General features: G+C 45.4%; 2 non-coding genes and 2 pseudogenes across 2 annotated transcripts, besides 2 other annotated features; 1 reads left to right on the forward strand and 3 right to left on the reverse strand.

Moving 5' to 3' along the window:
* Positions 1-1,990: 1,990 nt before the first annotated feature.
* On the reverse strand, positions 1,991-8,472 carry COMMD6P1 (COMMD6 pseudogene 1; annotated as a pseudogene).
* On the forward strand, positions 11,265-11,337 carry TRUND-NNN3-1 (tRNA-undetermined (NNN) 3-1; annotated as a pseudogene).
* Positions 12,417-12,566: a silencer, noted in NCBI's record as "silent region_1479". NCBI's record gives its function as "represses an Ori minimal core promoter by ATAC-STARR-seq in GM12878 lymphoblastoid cells {active_cell/tissue: GM12878}" and the evidence as "EXISTENCE:reporter gene assay evidence [ECO:0000049][PMID:35858748]".
* TRE-TTC4-2 (tRNA-Glu (anticodon TTC) 4-2) lies at positions 12,487-12,558 on the reverse strand. The gene has a single exon. It is a non-coding gene; the product is annotated as a tRNA-Glu (tRNA).
* On the reverse strand, positions 18,471-18,544 carry TRN-GTT2-2 (tRNA-Asn (anticodon GTT) 2-2). The gene has a single exon. It is a non-coding gene; the product is annotated as a tRNA-Asn (tRNA).
* Positions 18,851-18,900: an enhancer, noted in NCBI's record as "active region_1991". NCBI's record gives its function as "activates an Ori minimal core promoter by ATAC-STARR-seq in GM12878 lymphoblastoid cells {active_cell/tissue: GM12878}" and the evidence as "EXISTENCE:reporter gene assay evidence [ECO:0000049][PMID:35858748]".

A 19,913-nucleotide genomic window follows, 5' to 3' on the forward strand; every position in this document is an offset into this window, starting at 1 on the left:
TCCTTCGGTGGGCCATCCAACACCAAAAGAGGGCAATTCTAATTCACACAGAGTTCCTAACCTCTAGGGGGTTAACTTAACTCTGTAATCTCCTGTGAAACCTTTCTTAAGGTTCTGTAACATACATTTTAATAGAGTAAGTTTTGATGATTTGATGACTATCCTTTTATTTTTCTTTTTGAAAATTTTTTACACAGTTCCTAGCGGAGTGGGCTTACTTTGTGTCTGACCTATTTTTCTCTTGAGACAAAACAACATTCACACTACAAGAAGGAAAGGGTAAAAGGTCACTCACTTGTCTAATTCACACTAAATCAAAATCGAAACGAAAACCAAAGTGTTGTTAAAGGCACACCTGTTCATCAAGCAATTTAAGCCAAGTCAAAATCAGAACCAAAACCAAAGTGCCAATAAAGGCATGCCTGTTTATCAAGCAATTCAAGTCAAATCAAAATCAAAACTAAAACCAAAGAGTCAAGCAATTCAAGTCAAGTCAAAAACAAAAACCAAAGTGCTGGTACAGGCACGCCATGGGTGATCAGGCCATGCTTCCACTCAAATGGAGTGGGCAAGATCCAAAGACCAGTCTTACCAAGTTTTAGATGTCTGGACTTAAAGTGCCAGTTCCTTCCCGGTGTTCAGCTACTGCATTGATCCTCTGCGGGGGCCTGCTGTGCACTGCTCTGACAAGGCATTCCACCAGGACAAATGCCTACCTGGGAGCGCTCTCAGGATCTGCATGGCTCAAGCTGGCCAGAGTCCCCCGCAGGGATGCTCTACAGGGCAGACCTAAGCTGCCTAAGGGGCTGCCTTGGCCTTCCATTAATCCCCTCACTTCCTGGTCAGGGAACCAAGAAATGCAGCAGGACGAGCCACAGACAAAACTCCTCAGACACCGGATTAAAGAAGGAAGTGGTTTATTCTGCCGGGAGCATCAGCCGACTTGCGCCTTAAGAGCTGAGCTCCCCGAAAAAGAAATTATTGGCCTTTTTAAAGGCTTACAACTTTAAGGGGTCCACATGAAAGGGTCGTGATAAATTGAGCAAGCGTGGGAAACGTGACTGGGGGCTACATGCATCAGCTAACAGAACAAAAAGTTTTACAGTGCTTTTTTCATACAGTGTCTGGAATTTATAGATAACACAAGTAGTTTAGGTCAGGGGTTGATGTTATTATTATAACTTTTTTTAACTCCTAGGGCCAGGTGGTGGTGTCAAGATTGTCTGGCTATTTATCTCACTTTTGTTTTTTTTCCAACTTTTGGCTTTCTCTCTTTCCTCCTGTCTTGTGAACTAGGCAAGGTGGGGGGAGGAGGGCAGCAGGAGTAGTAGTGGTCTCCTTCCTTAGCACGTTCTCAGCTCCTGGGTTCAAGGCACCTGGCACAAAATGCAGTTTCTTATGTCTACTTCTTTCTACATAGACACAGTAACAGTCTGATCTCTCTTTCTTTCCCCCACAAGCTCAAGTGATCCACCCACCCTCTCAAAGTGCTGGGATTGCAGCTGTGAGCTAATGAGCCTGGCCGCTATTATCTTTTTTTTGTCTGAATTTTTAAAATTATTTTTAAAAATGGAAAAACAGCTGGATGTGGTGGCGCACATCTGTAATCCAGCACTTTGGGAGGCCGAGCTGGGCGGATCACCTGAGGTCAGGAGTTCGAGACCAGCCTGGCCAACATGGTGAAACCCCATCTCTACTAAAAATACAAAAATTAGCGGGGTGTGGTGGTGGGCACCTGTAATCTCAGCTACTCAGGAGGCTGAAGCAGGAGAGTCCCTTGAACCTGGGAGGCAGAGGTTGCAGTGAGCCGAGATCATGCCACTGCACTCCAGCCTGGGCAACAAAGAGTGAAACTCCATCTCAAAAAAAAGAAAAAAAACAAAAGTGCAATTTTTCATTCAATAAATACTTCATTCTTATGCGGTTTTGTTGCAGAAAGTGAAGTCCATGACTTTAGAATGATAGTAATTTATCAACCAAATAATCCATTTCACATAGTTTCAATAACTGCAGCAATCTCCTTGAATTGTCTGCATAAATTCTGAAACTGTGGAATTGTCATTTCAAAGGACTTGTTCTTTACTTGGACTGAATGAGTGGCACTTTTAGCATCACTGCAACATAAGGATACTTAAGAGATCTGCAACTGTCACATCTCACAGCCAAACCCAGTTTCCATTGAAAATCTACAAGCTCAGCCAGGCGTGGTGGCTCATGTCTGTAATCCCAGCATTTTTGGAGGCCGAGGCGAGTGGATCACAAGGTCAGGAGATGGAGACCATCCTGGCTAACACGGCGAAACCCCCTCTCTACTAAAAACACAAAAAAATTAGCCAGGTATGGTGGCGGGTGCCTGTAGTCCCAGCTACTCAGGAGGCTGAAGCAGGAGAATGGCATGAACCTGGGAGGCAGAGCTTGCAGTGAGCCAAGATCACGCCACTGCACTCCAACCTGGGCGATAGAGCGAGACTGTCAAAAAAAAAAAAAGAAAAAAATCTACAAGCTCTGACCAGGCGCGGTGGCTCACGCCTGTAATCACAGCACTTTGGGAGGCTGAGGTGGGTGGATCACCTGAGATCAGGAGTTTACACCAACCTGACCAACATGGTGAAACCCCGTCTCTACTAAAAATACAAAATTAGCCAGGCATGGTGGCGCATATGTGTAGTCCCAGCTACTCGGGAAGCTGAGGCAGGAGAATCGCTTGAACCCAGGAGGCAGAGGTTGCAGTGAGCCGAGATTGCGCCGCTGCACTCCAGTCTGGGCGACAGAGTGAGACTCCGTCTCAAAAAAAACCAAAAAAACTGCATTTTGTTCTGTACTAAGAAAAACTCTTCTGCCTGCCTTGAGATGCTGTTAATCTGTAACCCTAGCCCCAACCCTGTGCCCCAGAGACATGTGCTGTGTTGACTCCAGGTTTTTTTTTTTTTTGAGACAGAGTCTCACTCTGTCTCCCAGGCTGGAGTGCAGTGGCGCCATCTCCGCTCACTGCAAGCTCCGCCTCTGGGGTTCACCACATTCTCCTGCCTCAGCCTCCCGAGTAGCTGGGACTACAGGCACCCGCCACAACACCCGGCTAATTTTTTGTATTTTTAGTAGAGACAGGGTTTCACCGTGTTAGCCAGGATGGTCTCCATCTCCTGACCTCGTGATCCGCCCACCTTGGCCTCCCAAAGTGCTGGGATTACAGGCGTGAGCCACAGCGCCTGGCCATTGACTCAAGGTTTAATGGATTTAGGGCTGTGCAGGATGTGCTTTGTTAAAAAAAGTGTTTGAACGCAGTATGCTTGGTAAAAGTCATTGCCATTCTCTACTCGCGAGTACCCAGGGACACATATACTGCGGAAGGCTGCAGGGACCTCTGCCCAGGAAAGCCAGATATTGTCCAAGGTTTCTCCCCATCTGATAGCCTGAGATATGGCCTCATGGGAAGGGAAAGACCTGACTGTCCCCCAGCCCCACACCCTTAAAGGGTCTGTGATGAGGAGGATTACTGAAAGAGGAAGGCCTCTTTGCAGTTGAGATAAGAGGAAGGCATCTGTCTCCTGCTCATCCTTGGGAATGGAATGTCTCGGTGTAAGACCCGACTGTACGTTCTATTTACTGAGATAGGAGAAAACCGCCTTGGGGCTGGAGGTGAGACATGCTGGTGGCAATACTGCTCTTTAATGCACCGAGATGTTTGTGTACATGCACATCAAGGCACAGCACCTTTCCTCAAACTTATTTATGACACAGAGACCTTTGCTCATATGTTTTCCTGCTGACCCTCTCCCCACTATTACCGTATTGTCCTGCCACATCCCCCTCTCCGAGATGGTAGAGATAGTGATCAATAAATACTGAGGGAACTCAGAGACCAGTGCCAGTGCGGGTCCTCTGTATGCTGAGCGCCAGTCCCCTGGGCCCACTGTTCTTTCTCTATACTTTGTCTCTGTGTCTTATTTCTTTTCTCAGTCTCTTGTCCCACCTGAGGAGAAATACCCACAGGTGTGGAGGGGCTAGCCCCCTTCAGAACTCAGGTGTTTGAAACCAGCCTGGGCAACAAACATGGCGATACCCTCATCTCTATTAAAAAAAAAAAAAAGACAATAGCCATAGTAAATTTTAAAAACTGTGTAGCACTGACACAAGAATAAATAAGTACCCAATGGAACAGAATACAGAATCCAGAAACAGACCTGAGTGTGAACAGAAATTTCATATATGATATAATATTTGAATTAATGAGTTGTTTAGCGGATAATCTTGAGAAAACTGACTTACAGTATGTTGGGAAAATAAAATTGGATTATAACTCACACAGTTACCACTTTCCAATAGATTAGATATCAAAAAGTCAAAGATGAAACCATGAAGCTAATAGACAAAAATTCAGAATAACGTTTTTGTTACCTTGGGGTGGGAAAGAATTTTTAAAATAGAAGATCGTAAAACCATACAGCATAGAGGGAAAATAAATGGATGAATCTGAGCAACTCGATATGAAAGACTTCAATGAGGCACATCATGGACGAAGAGATAATAACAAGGAGAAGATATGATATCTAAAACAAGGGATTTATAATTAGATTCTAGAAGATACAAGGAACTTCTGAAATTAGAAAGAAAAGAAAATACCCAACAGGAAACCTAACATAAAAAAATGGGTAAAGAATGTGAATAGTCCAACTTAAGAAGGGGAAAGCTAAGTAGCTAAAAATATGAAGAATGATGAACCTCACTAGTAATCAGAGAAATGGAAATAAATTAAAATGGCGAGATACCAATTTATATCTTTGGTAAACATTAGAAAGTCATGTCTTGGGTAACATATAGGCAAATGAGAGGCCGGGCACAGTGACTCGTGCATGTAATCCAAGCACTTTGGGAGTCTGAGGCGGGTGGATCGCCTGAGGTCAGGAGTTTGAGACCCGCTTGATGAATATGGTGAAATCCCATCTCTACTAGAAATACAACAATTAGCTGGGCATGGTGGTCCATGCCTGTAATCCCACATACTCGGGAGGCTGAGGCAGGAGAGTCGCTTGAACCTGGGAGGCAGAGGCTGCAGTGAGCTGAGATCATGCCATTGCATTCCAGCCTAGGTGACAGAGTGAGACTCTGTCTAAAAAAAAAAAAAAAAATAGAATAGAATAAAATAAAATAAAACATAGGCAAATGGGAAGTCTCATGTCCTGCTGATGGGAATTAAACAGGTATAGCACGTTGGGAAGCAACCTGGAAGTATTTAAGTAACTGTATGCTTTAAGACTCAGCAATCCTTCTAACTCTATATCTAAGAGAAACTAGCACCTAGGTCTATAAGGAGACATGTATCAGAATATTCATGACAGGACTGTGTGTGATGGTGAGAATTGGAGGCAGTCCAGATGTCCATCACTAATGCATAGATTTACTTAGGCTTGGTTTACTGATGCAAAAGAGAGAGAATAAAAATACACTGTTTTCACAAAAACAGTGAAAAGGGAGTAGGAAATAGCATAAAATTCATAGCAGAAACCCATTTTTGCAAATATACAATATTGCATTTTGTTAAATAAACACACTCTCACATACACAAACACTGATACCTTTTATATCTCCAGATTCATTTTTTTTTTTTTTTTTGAGGTGGAGTCTCTGTCACCCAGGCTGGAGTACAGTGGCACAATCTTGGCTCACTGCAACCTCCCCCTCCTGAGTTCAAGCGATACTCCCACCTCAGCCTCCTGAGTAGTTGGGATTACAGGCACTTGCCTTCATGCCTGGCTAATTTTTTTGTATTTTTGTAGAGACGGGGTTTCACGATGTTGGCCAAGCTGGTCTTGAACTCCTGACCTCAGGTGATCCACCTGCCTGGGCCTCCCAAAGTGCTGGGATTACAGGCATGAGCCACCGTGCCTGGCCTAATATTTTTAGAAATAATATGTATATTTAAAAAACAGACTAAATATACAAAACTGGGTGCATTGTAGGGGAGAGGAATTGGTGTAAGAATGGGAGATGAGGAGAAAATAATGAGACAATATAACAGAACAGGGATCTTACCCAATCAATGATTATAATGAGCAATAGGGCTGGGCGGGGTGGCTCATGCCTGTAATCCCAGCACTTTGGGAGGCTGAGAAGGGTGGATCTCTTGAGGTCAGGAGTTTGAGACCAGCCTGGCCAACGTGGAAAAATCCTGTCTCTACTAAAAATACAAAAATTAGCCAGGCATGACGGCGCATGCCTGTAGTCCCCACTACTCAGGAGGCCGAGGCAGGAGAATCGCTTGAACCTGGGAAGCAGAGGTTGCAGTGAACCAAGATCATGCCCTTGCACTCCAGCTTGAGTGACAGAGTGAGACTCCATCTCAAAATAAATAAATAATACATAAATAAATAAAGTGCAATAAACTGAGGGAGATGATTGAATCAATTTTGTGTGCCCGTGAGTGATAAGAGGGAAAAAAAGTGAAAGTATACAATACCTTTTGGGAGAAATAGAAGAGGACTGACTGGGGTGAAGATATTCACAACATAATATCAAAACTACTCCTACAAATCCATGAGACAAAGACAACTCAAGAAAAACATGTATTTTGGCCGGGCATGGTGGCTCACCCTTGTAATCCCAGCACTTTGGGAGGCCAAGGCGAGTGGATCACTTGAGGTCAGGAGTTCGAGACCAGGCTGGCCAACGCGGTGAAACCCCATCTCTACTAAAAAATACAAAAGTTAGCTGGGCGTGGTGGCTCATGCTTGTAGTCCCAGCTACTCAGGAGTTTGAGGCAGGAGAATCATTTGAACCCGGGAGGCGAAGGTTGCAGTGAGCCGAGATTGTGCCCCTGCACTCCAGCCTGGGCGACAGAGTGAGAATCCTTCTCAAAAAAAAAAAAGAAAAGAAAAAGAGAAAAATATGCTTTTTTGGCTGGGCGTGGTGGCTCACGCCTGTAATCCCAGCACTTTGGAAGGCAGAGGCGGGCGGATCATGAGGTCAGGAGATCGAGACCATCCTGGCTAACATGGTGAAACCCCGTCTCTACTAAAAATACAAAAAATTAGCCGGGTGTGGTGGTGGGCACCTGTAGTCCCAGCTACTCTGGAGGCTGAGGCAGGAGAATGGCGTGAACCCGGGAGGCGGAGCTTGCAGTAAGCCAAGATGGCGCCACTGCACTCTAGCCTGGGTGACAGAGCGAGACTCTGTCTCAAAAAAAAAAAAAAGCTTTATATATATATATAAAAAAGCTTTTATGTATATAAATATATTTTATATATATAATTTTATATTATATATAAAAATATATTTTTTATATATAAAAAAGCTTTATATATATATATATATATATATATATATATATATATATATATATATAAAGCTTTTTTTTTTGAGACAGAGTCTCACTCTGTCACCCAGGCTGGGTGTATATATATGTATATTCTCTCTCTCTCTCTCTCTCTCTCTCTCTCTCTCTCTCTATATATATATATATATATATATATATATTTTTTTTTTTTTTTTTTTTTTTTTTTTTTTTTTAGACAGTCTCACTCTGTCGCCCAGGCTGGAGTGCAGTGGCATGATATTGGCTCACTGCAACCTCCACTTCTGAGGTTCAAGTGATTCTCCTGCTTCAGCCTCCTGAATAGCTGGGATTACAGGCACAAGACACCATGCCCAGCTAATTTTTGTACTTTTAGTAGAGATGAAGTTTCACCATGTTTCACCATGTTGGCCAGGCTGGTCTTGAACTTCTGACCTTAAATGATCTGCCCACCTCGGCCTCCCAAAGTGCTGGGATTACAGGTGTGAGCCACCAGCCTGGCCTCTAGTTATTTTTTACATAATGTTCAGCATACAATAAAAATTAGGAGACATGTGAAGAGAAAGGAAAATGTGACCAATGGTCAAGAGAAAAAAGAAAACAGTAGAAGCAGAAACAAATATAAGCCAATTGTTTAAGTTCACAGGCAAGAACTTTAAAATAATCACAATTTTATTTTTAAAAAATAGAGGAAAAGATGGAAAGTAGATGAGAAGAATTTCAACAGAGAATTGGAATAGAGACAAAAACTTCTAGAACAGAACCCTCTGAATGGGTTTAACAGCAAATTGGACACAGCAGGAGACAAGATTAGTGAATTCAAAGACAGATCAATAGGCTGGGCACTGTGACTCACACCTGTAATCCCAGCACTTTGGGAGGCTGAGGCGAGTGAATCAGCTGAGGTCAGGAGTTTGAGACCAACCTGACCAACATGGTGAAACCCTGTCTCTACTAAAATACAAAATTAGCCGGGCGTGGTGGTGGGTGCCTGTAATCCCAGCTACTCTGGAGGCTCAGGCAGAAGAATCGCTTGAACCCGGGAGGCGCAGGTTGCAGTGAGCCGAGATCACACCATTGCACTCCAGCCTGGGCAATGAGTGAGACTCTGGCCTCAATACAGAAAGAAAGAGAAGGGAGGGAGGGAGGTAGGAAGGAAGGAAGGGAGGAAGGAACCAACCCATATTGAAGCACACACACGAGTTGAGCCTGAGACCTTGGTCAAGAACCAAACCTAACAATACTCTGGCTAAAGAGTGAGGGGACTGTGGGCATGGGGGAATGCCTCCCCACAGATTCCCATCCACGACCCTTGGCCTGATGACCACAGCATCTCAGTAATGCTTCTGTAGTCCAGTATCATTTCTTCTTTCTGAAATACATACATACATACATACATATATATATATATATATTTATTTATTTATTTGTTTATTTTTTGAGGCAGAGTCTTGCTCTGTCACCCAGGCTGGGGTGCAGTGGCATGATCTCAGCTAACTGCAACCTCTGCCTCCCGGGTTCAAGTGATTTTCCTGCCTCAGCCTCCCAAGTAGCTGGGATTACAGGCATGCACCACCATGCCTGGCTAATTTTTGTATTTTTAGTGGAGATGGGGTTTCACCATGTTGGCCAAGCTGGTCTGGAACTCCTGACCTCAAGTGATCTGCCTGCCTCAGCCTCCCAAAGTGCTGGGATTACAGGCATGAGCCACTGCACCCGGCCTGAAATACATGTTTAAAAGAAAAATGTTGATCGTTTACTCAAAGGGGTAAATTAAGAATGGTAGTGAGCTCCTAATATCGCTAGCCACAATTCTCAAGGGAAGCAAATGGGGAGGCCAAACATCTGGTTGCTAACCTCATCAGCACCTGATGGGTAGGGAGGCTGCGCGAAGGCTGATGTCCACTGAGGAATTCTGAAATGCTCCTTAAGGGGACTAGGCCCACCCATGTTGAGAATCACTAATGTATACTTGTGTTTAATTTTTTCTCTATTTCTTCTTCTTTTTCTTTTTTTAAGAGATGTTATGCTATGCTACCCAGTCTGCTCTCAAACTCCTGGGGTCAAGCGATCCTCCTGCCTTGGCCTCCTGAGTACGTTTAATTTTGCCACGGAAACATGCAGTCTCTCAGGAATATTCTAAATCTAGAATGGGTGGATTAGCACAGTCATAGTATTAGTAATTAATAAAACTTTCCCCCACTTTGAAATCCTGAAAGTAGTTAAAATCATGGAGTTCTAGGCAGTCCGGTATTAGCAGCCCTTGACCTTTGCATTGGCAGCTGTCACCAGGTGTTTAATGTGGCTTATTAGGGAAGTCCAGAGCCAGCCAATACTTTACTGAGCTTGTAAACTCATAATCCGTTTAGATTTTTTTGTAAAATAAAAACCATATATCTATATGGTAACGAATTGGTTAATTGTAAGCCAGGAAATAAAATGTATAAACAAAAGTGAAGTGGTAACAAATTAGTTAAATGGCAGGGGGATCAAATCCAGATCTGTCAGGACAGAAGGGAATACTCACCAACTATGCTAATGAGGAAGGAGATGAATCTAAAGTCAACAACATCTCCTCTAACTGCCCACTTTTACACTGGGCCCAGATAGGTAGGAAGCATTGATTGCTCATGCCCCATTTGCTCCCAGGCCACCACCTAGTCTGACCCTTTGCTGGCAGGACAGAGCGAGAGGCCAGCATCAGAGTGGCCATTTGTGAAAATGCCAGAAACGTTGTCTACTCTCCACCCCACCCCATCTCCCACAAAACTCACCTGTGCCATGCAAGACTGTGGCAGATGGTTGGAATTCCAGGCGCTACTGCTCTTCATCCTTCTAGGGAGGCAGATGTCAGGGCAGAGGCCTGGGAAGTGTGAGGCTGCTGGATCCAAGAGTGGGGGCAGGTGGAGCAGAGGTGAGGTTTGGCCTTTTGGAAGCACTGGGTCACGAAAATCCAACCACGTGCTTTGACCAGATTCGTTTCCTGCTCAGATTCTGGATTGAGGAAGGCGGGGAGTGAGACCATGGCAAAGAATTGACTAGGAAGAAGCTGTCACCCTTGATGGAGTGGGCAAAGAGAAAAAGCAATCATTTGGGCATAGGGCCCAGCTGGACTCCTGGGTGGAAGGTGTGGCCTGGGTGTTCTTGGGTTCCTTGTCTGCTTGAGCCCCAGAACAATAGAAAATCTTGATGGCCACAGCAACAGGAGCTTAATAGTGGGAAGGAAGAAAAATGAAGGACAAAACCAAGACTTAAACTCCCACTGGGAAGTTTGAGAAAAAAGCCTTAACCACTATACCAAAAATGTACCCCAGGAAACTGATCTTACCTTCTGGTACCAGCATCAGCTACATAAATTGTCGGGTCTAGTGCAAAGTGAAAATGCAACCTCTTCTGAAAAAAGCAGCAAGAAAAGTGCTGTGAAGAGTAGTGAACTATAAAGCTTTTTCCTTTCTTCCATAGTCCTTCCTATGATGGGGCTTTTTATTTGCTCTTATTTGTCATTCTATGTAAAGAAAAATTAAGAATTTAAATAATTAGCATGATTTTTTTTTTTTTCCGAGACAGAGTTTTGCTCTTGTTGCCCAGGCTGGAGTGCAATGACACAATCTCGACTCACTGCAACCTCCACTTCCCGGGTTCAAATGATTCTCCTGCCTCAGCCTCCGGAGTAGCTGGGATTACAGGTGCCCGCCACCATGCCTGGTTAATTTTTTATATTTTTAGTAGAAACGGGGTTTCACCATGTTGGCCAGGCTGGTCTTGAACTCCTGACCTCAGGTGATCTGCCCACCTCGGTCTCCCAAAGTGCTGGGACTGCAGGCGTGAGCCGCCGCGCCTGGCCGGCTAATTATTTGAAATTTTAAGAACATTTTCCAGACACTCCTAAAAGTTTATAACCTACGCTTGCAGTGGTTAAAGCGTCAGTCCTAAGGTATTTTTCCAAAAGGTGCTGCCCAGGTAACTAAGCTGTCTCTCCCTGGTGGTCTAGTGGCTAGGATTCTAGTGCTTTAACTGCCAGCGCCCAGGTTCAATTCCCGGTTAGGAAAGTTTGCTTCTTTGCTTTCTTGATCACACGCATTCTATTATCGCCGTGGCTGCGGCTGTCACTGCCCTCCGGAGCAGTTAAGGTTTGCTTGCAGGCACGCCTCTCTGCAAGGCACTACTGACATCCTGTACATCAGTATCCAGGGAATGGGGACTGCCTGTATGGAGTAAAAAGGTAGGCAGATTCAGACTCACCTCAGCCCCACTCTATTGAGAATTACTGATTTTTATTTTTACTTCTTGGGGGCTGAGTCTCGCTCTGTCGCCAGGCTGGAGTGCAGTCGTGCGCTTTCAGCTCATTGCAACCTCCGTCTCCCGAGTTCAAGGAGTAGCTGGGACTACAGCTCAGCCTTCCGAGTAGCTGGGGCTACAGGCCCGCACCACCACGCCCAGCTAATTTTTGTATTTTTATTTTTGTATTTTTAGTAGAGACTGGGTTTTACCATGTTGGCCAGGATGGTCTCGATCTTTGACCTCGTGATCCGCCCGCCTCCCAAAGTGCTGGGAGCCAACGCTCCCGGCTTGATTTTTAAAAATCAATATAAGTAATTTTTACATGAAACAAGTGAGTTATTTCAAATGTCTTCTAAATCTAGAAAGGTCTGATGAATTGGCATAGGCACAGTTTTAAGAATAAATGTAATTCTCCCTCCCCGACCTCCTGCCGAGTTCTCATTTAAACCCTAAGGGCGGTTTGTTTACATTTCAGAGATGTAGTAGATGCCCAGGTTATTTTACCAGATGCGCTACTGTTTCCTCTGGTAACAGGTGTTCCAAATCGGAAAACAAACTAGTCCGTTATGCTAATTTGCATATTTGAAACATGGAAAACCTCTCTTAATTCGTTTGGTATTTTGTAAAAATAGAAACATATTTTTATATGGTAATAAGTTAGTTAACTTTACCCGTAAGAGGAATAGACGAAAGTGAACCTCCTATGATGACAAGTTACTTGACAACACTAACTTGTCAACGTTCTTACTTGTCAAGGGCTCCCTAATGACATTGCCCCGCGGTTTTCAAGACTGACTTCAGGATCATCTGGGAGAGGTTGAAAGGCACATGCAGTGTTCACCGCCTTGAACTGAAGATCACTGAACATGGCTTTGGTGGAAACCACTGCAGTGATATCAGAAAGGAAAAAAGCAAACTTCCCTGACCGGGAATCGAACCCGGGCCGCGGCGGTGAAAGCGCCGAATCCTAGCCACTAGACCACCAGGGAGGGCTGGTGACACTGTGGGCAGCACCTTCTGAGAAAAGATCTTAGGACAGACGCCTCAACCACCTCAGGCACATGTTAGAAACCTATAGGAATGTCTTTTTCTCCCTCTCCCTCTCCCCACGGTCTCCCTCTCCCTCTCTCCACGGTCTCCCTCTGATGCGGAGCTGAAGCTGGACGGTACTGCTGCCTGATTCTCCTGCCTCAGCCTGCCGACTGCCTGCGATTGCAGGCGCGCGCCGCCACGCCTGACTGGTTTTCGTATTTTTTTGGTGGAGACGGGGTTTCGCTGTGTTGGCCGGGCTGGTCTCCAGCTCCTAACCGCGAGTGATCCACCAGCCTCGGCATCCTGAGGTGCCGGGATTGCAGACGGAGTCTCGTTCACTCCGTGCTCAATGGTGCCCAGGCTGGAGTGCAGTGGCGTGATCTCGGCTCGCTACAACCTTCACCTCCCAGCAGCCTGCCTTGGCCTCCCAAAGTGCCGAGATTGCAGCCTCTGCCCGGCCGCCACCCCGTCTGGGAAGTGAGGAGCGTCTCTGCCCGGCCGCCCATCGTCTGGGATGTGAGGAGCCCCTCTGCCTGGCTGCCCAGTCTGGAAAGTGAGGAGCGTCTCTGCCCGGCCGCCCGTCGTCTGGGATGTGAGGAGCCCCTCTGCCTGGCTGCCCAGTCTGGAAAGTGAGGAGCGTCTCTGCCCGGCCGCCATCCCATCTAGGAAGTGAGGAGCGCCTCTTCCCGGCCGCCATCCCATCTGGGAAGTGAGGAGAGTCTCTGCCCGGCCGCCCATCGTCTGAGATGTGGGGAGCACCTCTGCCCTGCCGCCCCGTCCGGGATGTGAGGAGCGTCTCTGCCCGGCCGCCCCGTCTGAGAAGTGAGGAGACCCTCTGCCTGGCAACCGCCCCGTCTGAGAAGTGAGGAGCCCCTCCGCCCGGCAACCACCCCGTCTGAGAAGTGAGGAGCCCCTCCGCCCGGCAGCCGCGCCGTCTGAGAAGTGAGAAGCCCCTCCGCCCAGCAGCCACCCCGTCTGGGAAGTGAGGAGCGTCTCTGCCCGGCCGCCCCTACTGGGAAGTGAGGAGCCCCTCTGCCCGGCCAGCCGCTCCGTCCAGGAGGGAGGTGGGGGGGTCAGCCCCCCGCCCGGCCAGCCGCCCCGTCCGGGAGGGAGGTGGGGGGGGTCAGCCCCCCGCCCAGCCAGCCGCCCCGTCCGGGAGGGAGGTGGGGGGGGTCAGCCCCCCACCTGGCCAGCCGCCCCGTCCGGGAGGTGAGGGGCGCCTCTGCCCGGCCGCCCCTACTGGGAAGTGAGGAGCCCCTCTGCCTGGCCGGCCGCCCCGTCCGGGAGGGAGGTGGGGGGGTCAGCCCCCCACCCGGCCAGCCGCCCCGTCCGGGAGGTGAGGGGCGCCTCTGCCCGGCCGCCCCTACTGGGAAGTGAGGAGCCCCTCTGCCCGGCCAGCCGCTCCGTCCAGGAGGGAGGTGGGGGGGTCAGCCCCCGCCCGGCCAGCCGCCCCGTCCGGGAGGGAGGTGGGGGGGTCAGCCCCCCACCCGGCCAGCCGCCCCGTCCGGGAGGTGAGGGGCGCCTCTGCCCGGCCGCCCCTACTGGGAAGTGAGGAGCCCCTCTGCCCGGCCACCACCCCGTCTGGGAGGTGTACCCAACAGCTCATTGAGAACGGGCCATGATGACAATGGCGGTTTTGTGGAATAGAAAGGGGGGAAAGGTGGGGAAAAGATTGAGAAATCGGATGGTTGCCGTGTCTGTGTAGAAAGAGGTAGACGTGGGAGACTTTTCATTTTGTTCTGTACTAAGAAAAATTCTTCTGCCTTGGGATGCTGTTGATCTGTGACCTTACCCCCAACCCTGTGCTATCTGAAACATGTGCTGTATCCACTCAGGGTTGAATGGATTAAGGGCGGTGCAAGATGTGCTTTGTTAAACAGATGCTTGAAGGCAGCATGCTCCTTAAGAGTCATCACCACTCCCTAATCTCAAGTACCCAGGGACACAAACACTGCGGAAGGCCGCAGGGTCCTCTGCCTAGGAAAACCAGAGACCTTTGTTCACTTGTTTATCTGCTGACCTTCCCTCCACTATTGTCCTGTGACCTTGCCAAATCCCCCTCTGCGAGAAACACCCAAGAATGATCAATTAAAAAAAAAAAAAAAAGAAACCTATAGGAATGTCTTTAAGAATATTTTGCAATGATGTGTATAGTACTGGATGCAGTGACTGCTGCCTGGGCCAGAGGGTGGCAGAAGGCTTTAGGGGCAGAAACGTTGGAAGAAAGATTGTCATAAGTCAAGCTGGGGAAGAGAAAAATATTTCCCAAATCATTTTTGTCACGGACTCCCTCTGACATGGGAGTTTCTCATCTCCCTTCCTGCCTCCCTCCCTTTTTCTTTCTTCCTCCTAAAATCTGCATCTCCTTCACTTATATAGTTTCCCCACGGTTGATTGAGAAAAAATGTGTCTTTTTGCCCCCCTCCCCAAAGGATCCTATTCCTGATCTCTAAATATGCCCCTCACCAGTGCAGAGGGAGGAGCAGTCAGAGCCTGGGAGACTTGCCTACCTGGAGCTGCACCCATCTTTGAGGCCTTGCTCTGTTTCCTGGAACCTGAAATGGATTTACCTATTCTACACATTTCATAGAAATGAAATCACATAATGTGTCACATTTTGTCTGGCTTCTCTCACTTGGCATAATATTTTTGGGTTCATTCATGTCATAGTATGTACTTCATTTCTTCTTATGGCTAAATAACATTTTATGTATATACCACATTTCCTTTATCCATTCATCTGTTGATGGGCATTTTGGTTGTTTCCACCTTTTGGCTGTTGTGAATAATGCTGCTATGAACATTTATGTACAAGCATTTGTTTGAGCATCTGTTTTTTATTTTTTGGGGTTATCTATTTAGTAGTGGAATTACTAAGTCACTTATATTCCCACCAGCATAGGTAAATCTATAGGAACAGAAAGCAGAGTAATGGCTGCCAGGGGCTGGGGAATGTGGAGTAATCACATAATGATATGGGGTTTTACTTTCTTTTGATGAAAATGTTTTGGAACTAGATTGAGATGGTGGTTGCATAACCGTGTGAACATACTTAATGCCACTGAATTTGTTTAAGATGGCTTCATTTTTCTTCACATTTCTGCCTATGCTTTATATTTTCTGTTGTTTTAAAAATTATAGCCATCCTAGTGGGTGTGAAGATACCACTACACATAAATTAGAATGTCTAAAATTAAAGAGACAGACTATATGCAGTGGACTGAATGTTTGCACACACACCCCAAGTTCATATGTTAAAATTCTAACTCCCAAGGTTATGATATTATGAGGTGGGGCTTTGGGGAGATAATTAGGTCATGAAGGTGGAGCCTTCATTAATAGGATTAGTGTCCTTATAAAAGAGACCCTCACCATGTGAGGCTTCTTAAAAGACTGCTTTCTGTGAGAAAACAGGCCCTCACCAGAAACCACATGTGCAAGCACCTTGATCTTGGACCTCCCAACTTCCAGAACCATGAGAAATAATTTTTGTTGCTTATAAGCCACCCAGTCTATGGCATTTTGTTATAGCACCTGAATGGACTGAGAGATCATACGAAACAAAAAAGAGGACATGCTGTATGATTTCATTTACATAAAACTCTAGGCAATGCCAACTTATCTATATTGACAAAAAGCAGATCAGTGGTTGGCTTGGGGATGGGCGGGTAAGAGGGAGTGTGAGGTGGTAAGGAGCAGGAGGGTGGAATTATGGAATTACAAAAGGCTATAGGGAAACTGCTTGGGGGTGATGGAGATGCTCACTATATATATATATATATATATATATATATATATATTTTTTTTTTTTTTTTTTTTTGAGACGGAGTTTTGCTCTTGTTGCCCAGGCTGGAGTGCAATGGTGCAATCTTGACTTACTGCAACTTCCACCTGCCAGGTTCAAGTGATTCTCCTGTCTCAGCCTCCCAAGTAGCTGGGATTACAAGCACGTGCCACCATGCCCGGCTGATGTTCGTATTTTTAGTAGATATGGGGTTTCACCATGTTGGTCAGGCTGGTCTCAAACTCCTGACCTCAGGTGATCCACCCACCTTGGCCTCCCAAAGTGTTGGGATTACAGGCATAGGCCACCACACCCGGCCTATATGCTCACTATCTTAATGATAGTGTTGGATTCACTGGTGTATACATACGTCAAAACATCATTTTGTATACTTTAAATATGTACAGTTTATGTTATACTAAATAACATTTTAAATAATGGTTTCTTGAAAAATTTTGTACATATATTTTGGAGACTATCTGCCCATTTATCTATCTTTACCTCTATATCTATATAGTTATACTGTTTTCTCTTAGGTATATACCTCAGAAAAAATTACTGAAACATGCATACATATGTTCAGCTGTGGCAGGTATGTCCAAATAGCTTTCCAAAGTGGTTGTAACTATTCACATTCCCATGATCTGTATACCACTTTCTATCCAGTAAGAGTTCCATAGTTACAGACAAAACAGAAAAAATAGGATATGTGTGTGTATATCTTGAATAGCCAAGATATGAACCTAAAATTGGATCCTGCAGGTTAAAAAACTAAAACCCAAGTTAAATTCATAGTCTGAGCATGCCTCTTCTGTGACATTTGGTGTATTCATCAACAGTGGGAATGGAAATGAGACAGTTGAGCAGATTATTATGAATCTGAGTGCTTTGAACCTACAAATCTCCCTGAGCCTCCCTTACTAGCAAAAGAGCCCCCTTTCTTCCTATATGAACAAGTTGAAATTCTCTTGTTTGAGGATTCTTTATGATAACATCTGAGACAGTTACATGGCAAGGAAATGCCAACTTATTTCAAGACCCACCTCTATCACCTATTATGTCCTCCAGGCCCATAATTTGAATCAGATACCATCAGAAACTAAGTTTTTTTTTTTTTTTTTTTTTTTTGAGACGGAGTCTTGCTCTGTCGCCCACGCTGGAGTGCAGTGGCATGATCTCAGCTCACTGCAACCTCCGCCTCCCAGGTTCAAACGATTCTCCTACCTCAGCCTCCTGAGTAGCTGGGACAACAGGCGCCCCCCACCATGCCCGGCTAATTTTTTCTATTTTTAGTAGAGACGGGGTTTCACTGTGTTAGCCAGGATGGTCTCGATCTCCTGACCTCGTGATCCACCCGCCTCTGCCTCCCAAAGTGCTGGGATTACAGGCGTGAGCTACCGCGTCCGGCCAGAAACTATTTAAGTTTTTAACTTAAAATATTTAAATTTTTAAAGGCACTTTTCTACAGAGATCTTGTAAAAACAACTCTTATTTTTTAAGCCTTTCCACATAGTTTAGTTGCTTCTTCACAACTTACTGCTCTTCATCCAATTTAGTATATAAATTACTAACTCTAACTGCTTCTTCTCATCTCCATTTCCTCATAAGTGTTCCCGTGCCACGTAAAACTTGTATTAAAGAAATTCGATCTATAGTCTATTAACGTAATTCTCAGGTGCAGTCGGGACCCTAAGAGAATGGAGGTGGAGTTTTGCTGCCCTGCACCCTTTAAAATTTCAGAGAGGTCATTGGGTTTCTCCAGCTCTTTAGCATCTGCTGTGGGAATTAATTGAGCGAGAGAGCCATACTTGTTTTCCTTAGTACTAGCACTCACCTGCAAAGTCTTGCTGGCTGCGAGGTTCTGCAGGAAAGCAGCTCTCAAAGGATTTGTTTCTGGAGGGAAAAGTACAGGAGCCTCTAGTTCAGTACTAGAGGACCTCTAAACGTGTAGGGTGGAGGATGTTATGAAACGTGTTTTACAAAGCAACCATTGTGTAGGATTTTAGGTTAGAAGTAGAACTTCTGGATCTGAAAAGAAGAATGGAGAAAAATAGTAACAAAGGAATTGGAATCTAAAATTTCAGCCGTCCCTGGGTGGGCTCGAACCACCAACCTTTCGGTTAACAGCCGAACGCGCTAACCGATTGCGCCACAGAGACTGACACGAATGGCCTGTTCTTGTAGATCATATTTATAGATATTTAGGTAAACACATGACGATTTCGCTACCTAGAGTTCTGGTTCACTACTACGTGACTGCAAGTCTAGGTCTGAGTTGGGTAATTCTAAAACCTACAACATGAAACCATTCCTGCTATGTGACATTCAGATACTTGCTTGCTTCCTCCCCAGTTTCTTAGCAGCAGCAGAAAGCAATTGGCTCCCAAAGTCGAGACCCAGACACGAGTAAAATCAAATTAACTATTGGCTTGAGGAAATGGGGAATGGAGAAAGGGTGTAGTGAGTGTTGGGAGAATAGCTCATTGCTGATTTGAACTAGAGATACACACTTAGGAAGTCAGCTTGATGTCCTTAAATCGGTAGTTTTTTGAAGCCCAGTTACATCACTTCTTTCTGAATTTCAAACCTACATGCTAAGTGTTTGTTCAAAGAGGTAAGTTAAGTGTGGAAGTGAGCTCTGAAGCACTCCCAGAATATGATTCTCAAGCTTAAATAGCCCATGGGAAAGTACTAAATATCCCATGGGAAGGTACAAAGACATCTGGGACACAAGAGATTGAGCAAGTTGAACAAATAAGCACCCCTCCGCTCCAAACAATCAAAAGCATCCCTGATGGGTCATGGCTTTTCATAGGGAATCACTAATTTATGATTAGTTCGATTATATTTAAGTTTTACACTGAAACATGCACCAGATCTATCAGTTATTTTGACTCAAGAAAATCAATTGTAGTAATGAATGTAATTCCCGCAAATCTTTGGCATTTGCAAAGCTGTTAACTTTTTGAAGTTTTCTACAGTCTGGACAATTTTTATGAAACCCTCTAATAATTTCTACCAGTAGCTTCCATGACATGTTCAGAGGTTTCTATTACAGAAACCCAGGCCACCCATACATCTCACTTAGGCTGAGAAAACAGTGTCACACCCAATATTGTAAGTCAATACAGTTAAGTCTTTCAAATAGCAACAATTTAGTTGACTCTATGTAAAAGACCAGGTCAAAATGAACTTTATAAAATGGAAAATAATAGGATGTTATTCTCTGGCTTGATGGTCAAGCAGCCCCAGATGGAAGACTTCTATGTCTCCAGTATACTTATTGGTTTGATTGAAACATTTCTGTTAAAAGTTCCAGTGGCGAGATTTGCTAGAAACTTTGAGAGACATCGAAGAGGCTCTGGATCCACAGAGTTGGAAGACTTTTTTTTTCCCCTTAACCTTTCTTAAGAGGTCCTCATAAATAATTATTTGAAAAAAAAAGTGAGACATGGTAGTTGCATGACCTAAAAGGGGTGTAACTGCAGTAATCCATGAACACTGGCTCAGCTACTTGAATGGCAAAGT

This window comes from Homo sapiens, chromosome 1 (assembly GCF_000001405.40).
Source record: "Homo sapiens chromosome 1, GRCh38.p14 Primary Assembly".
NCBI lineage: Eukaryota > Metazoa > Chordata > Mammalia > Primates > Hominidae > Homo > Homo sapiens.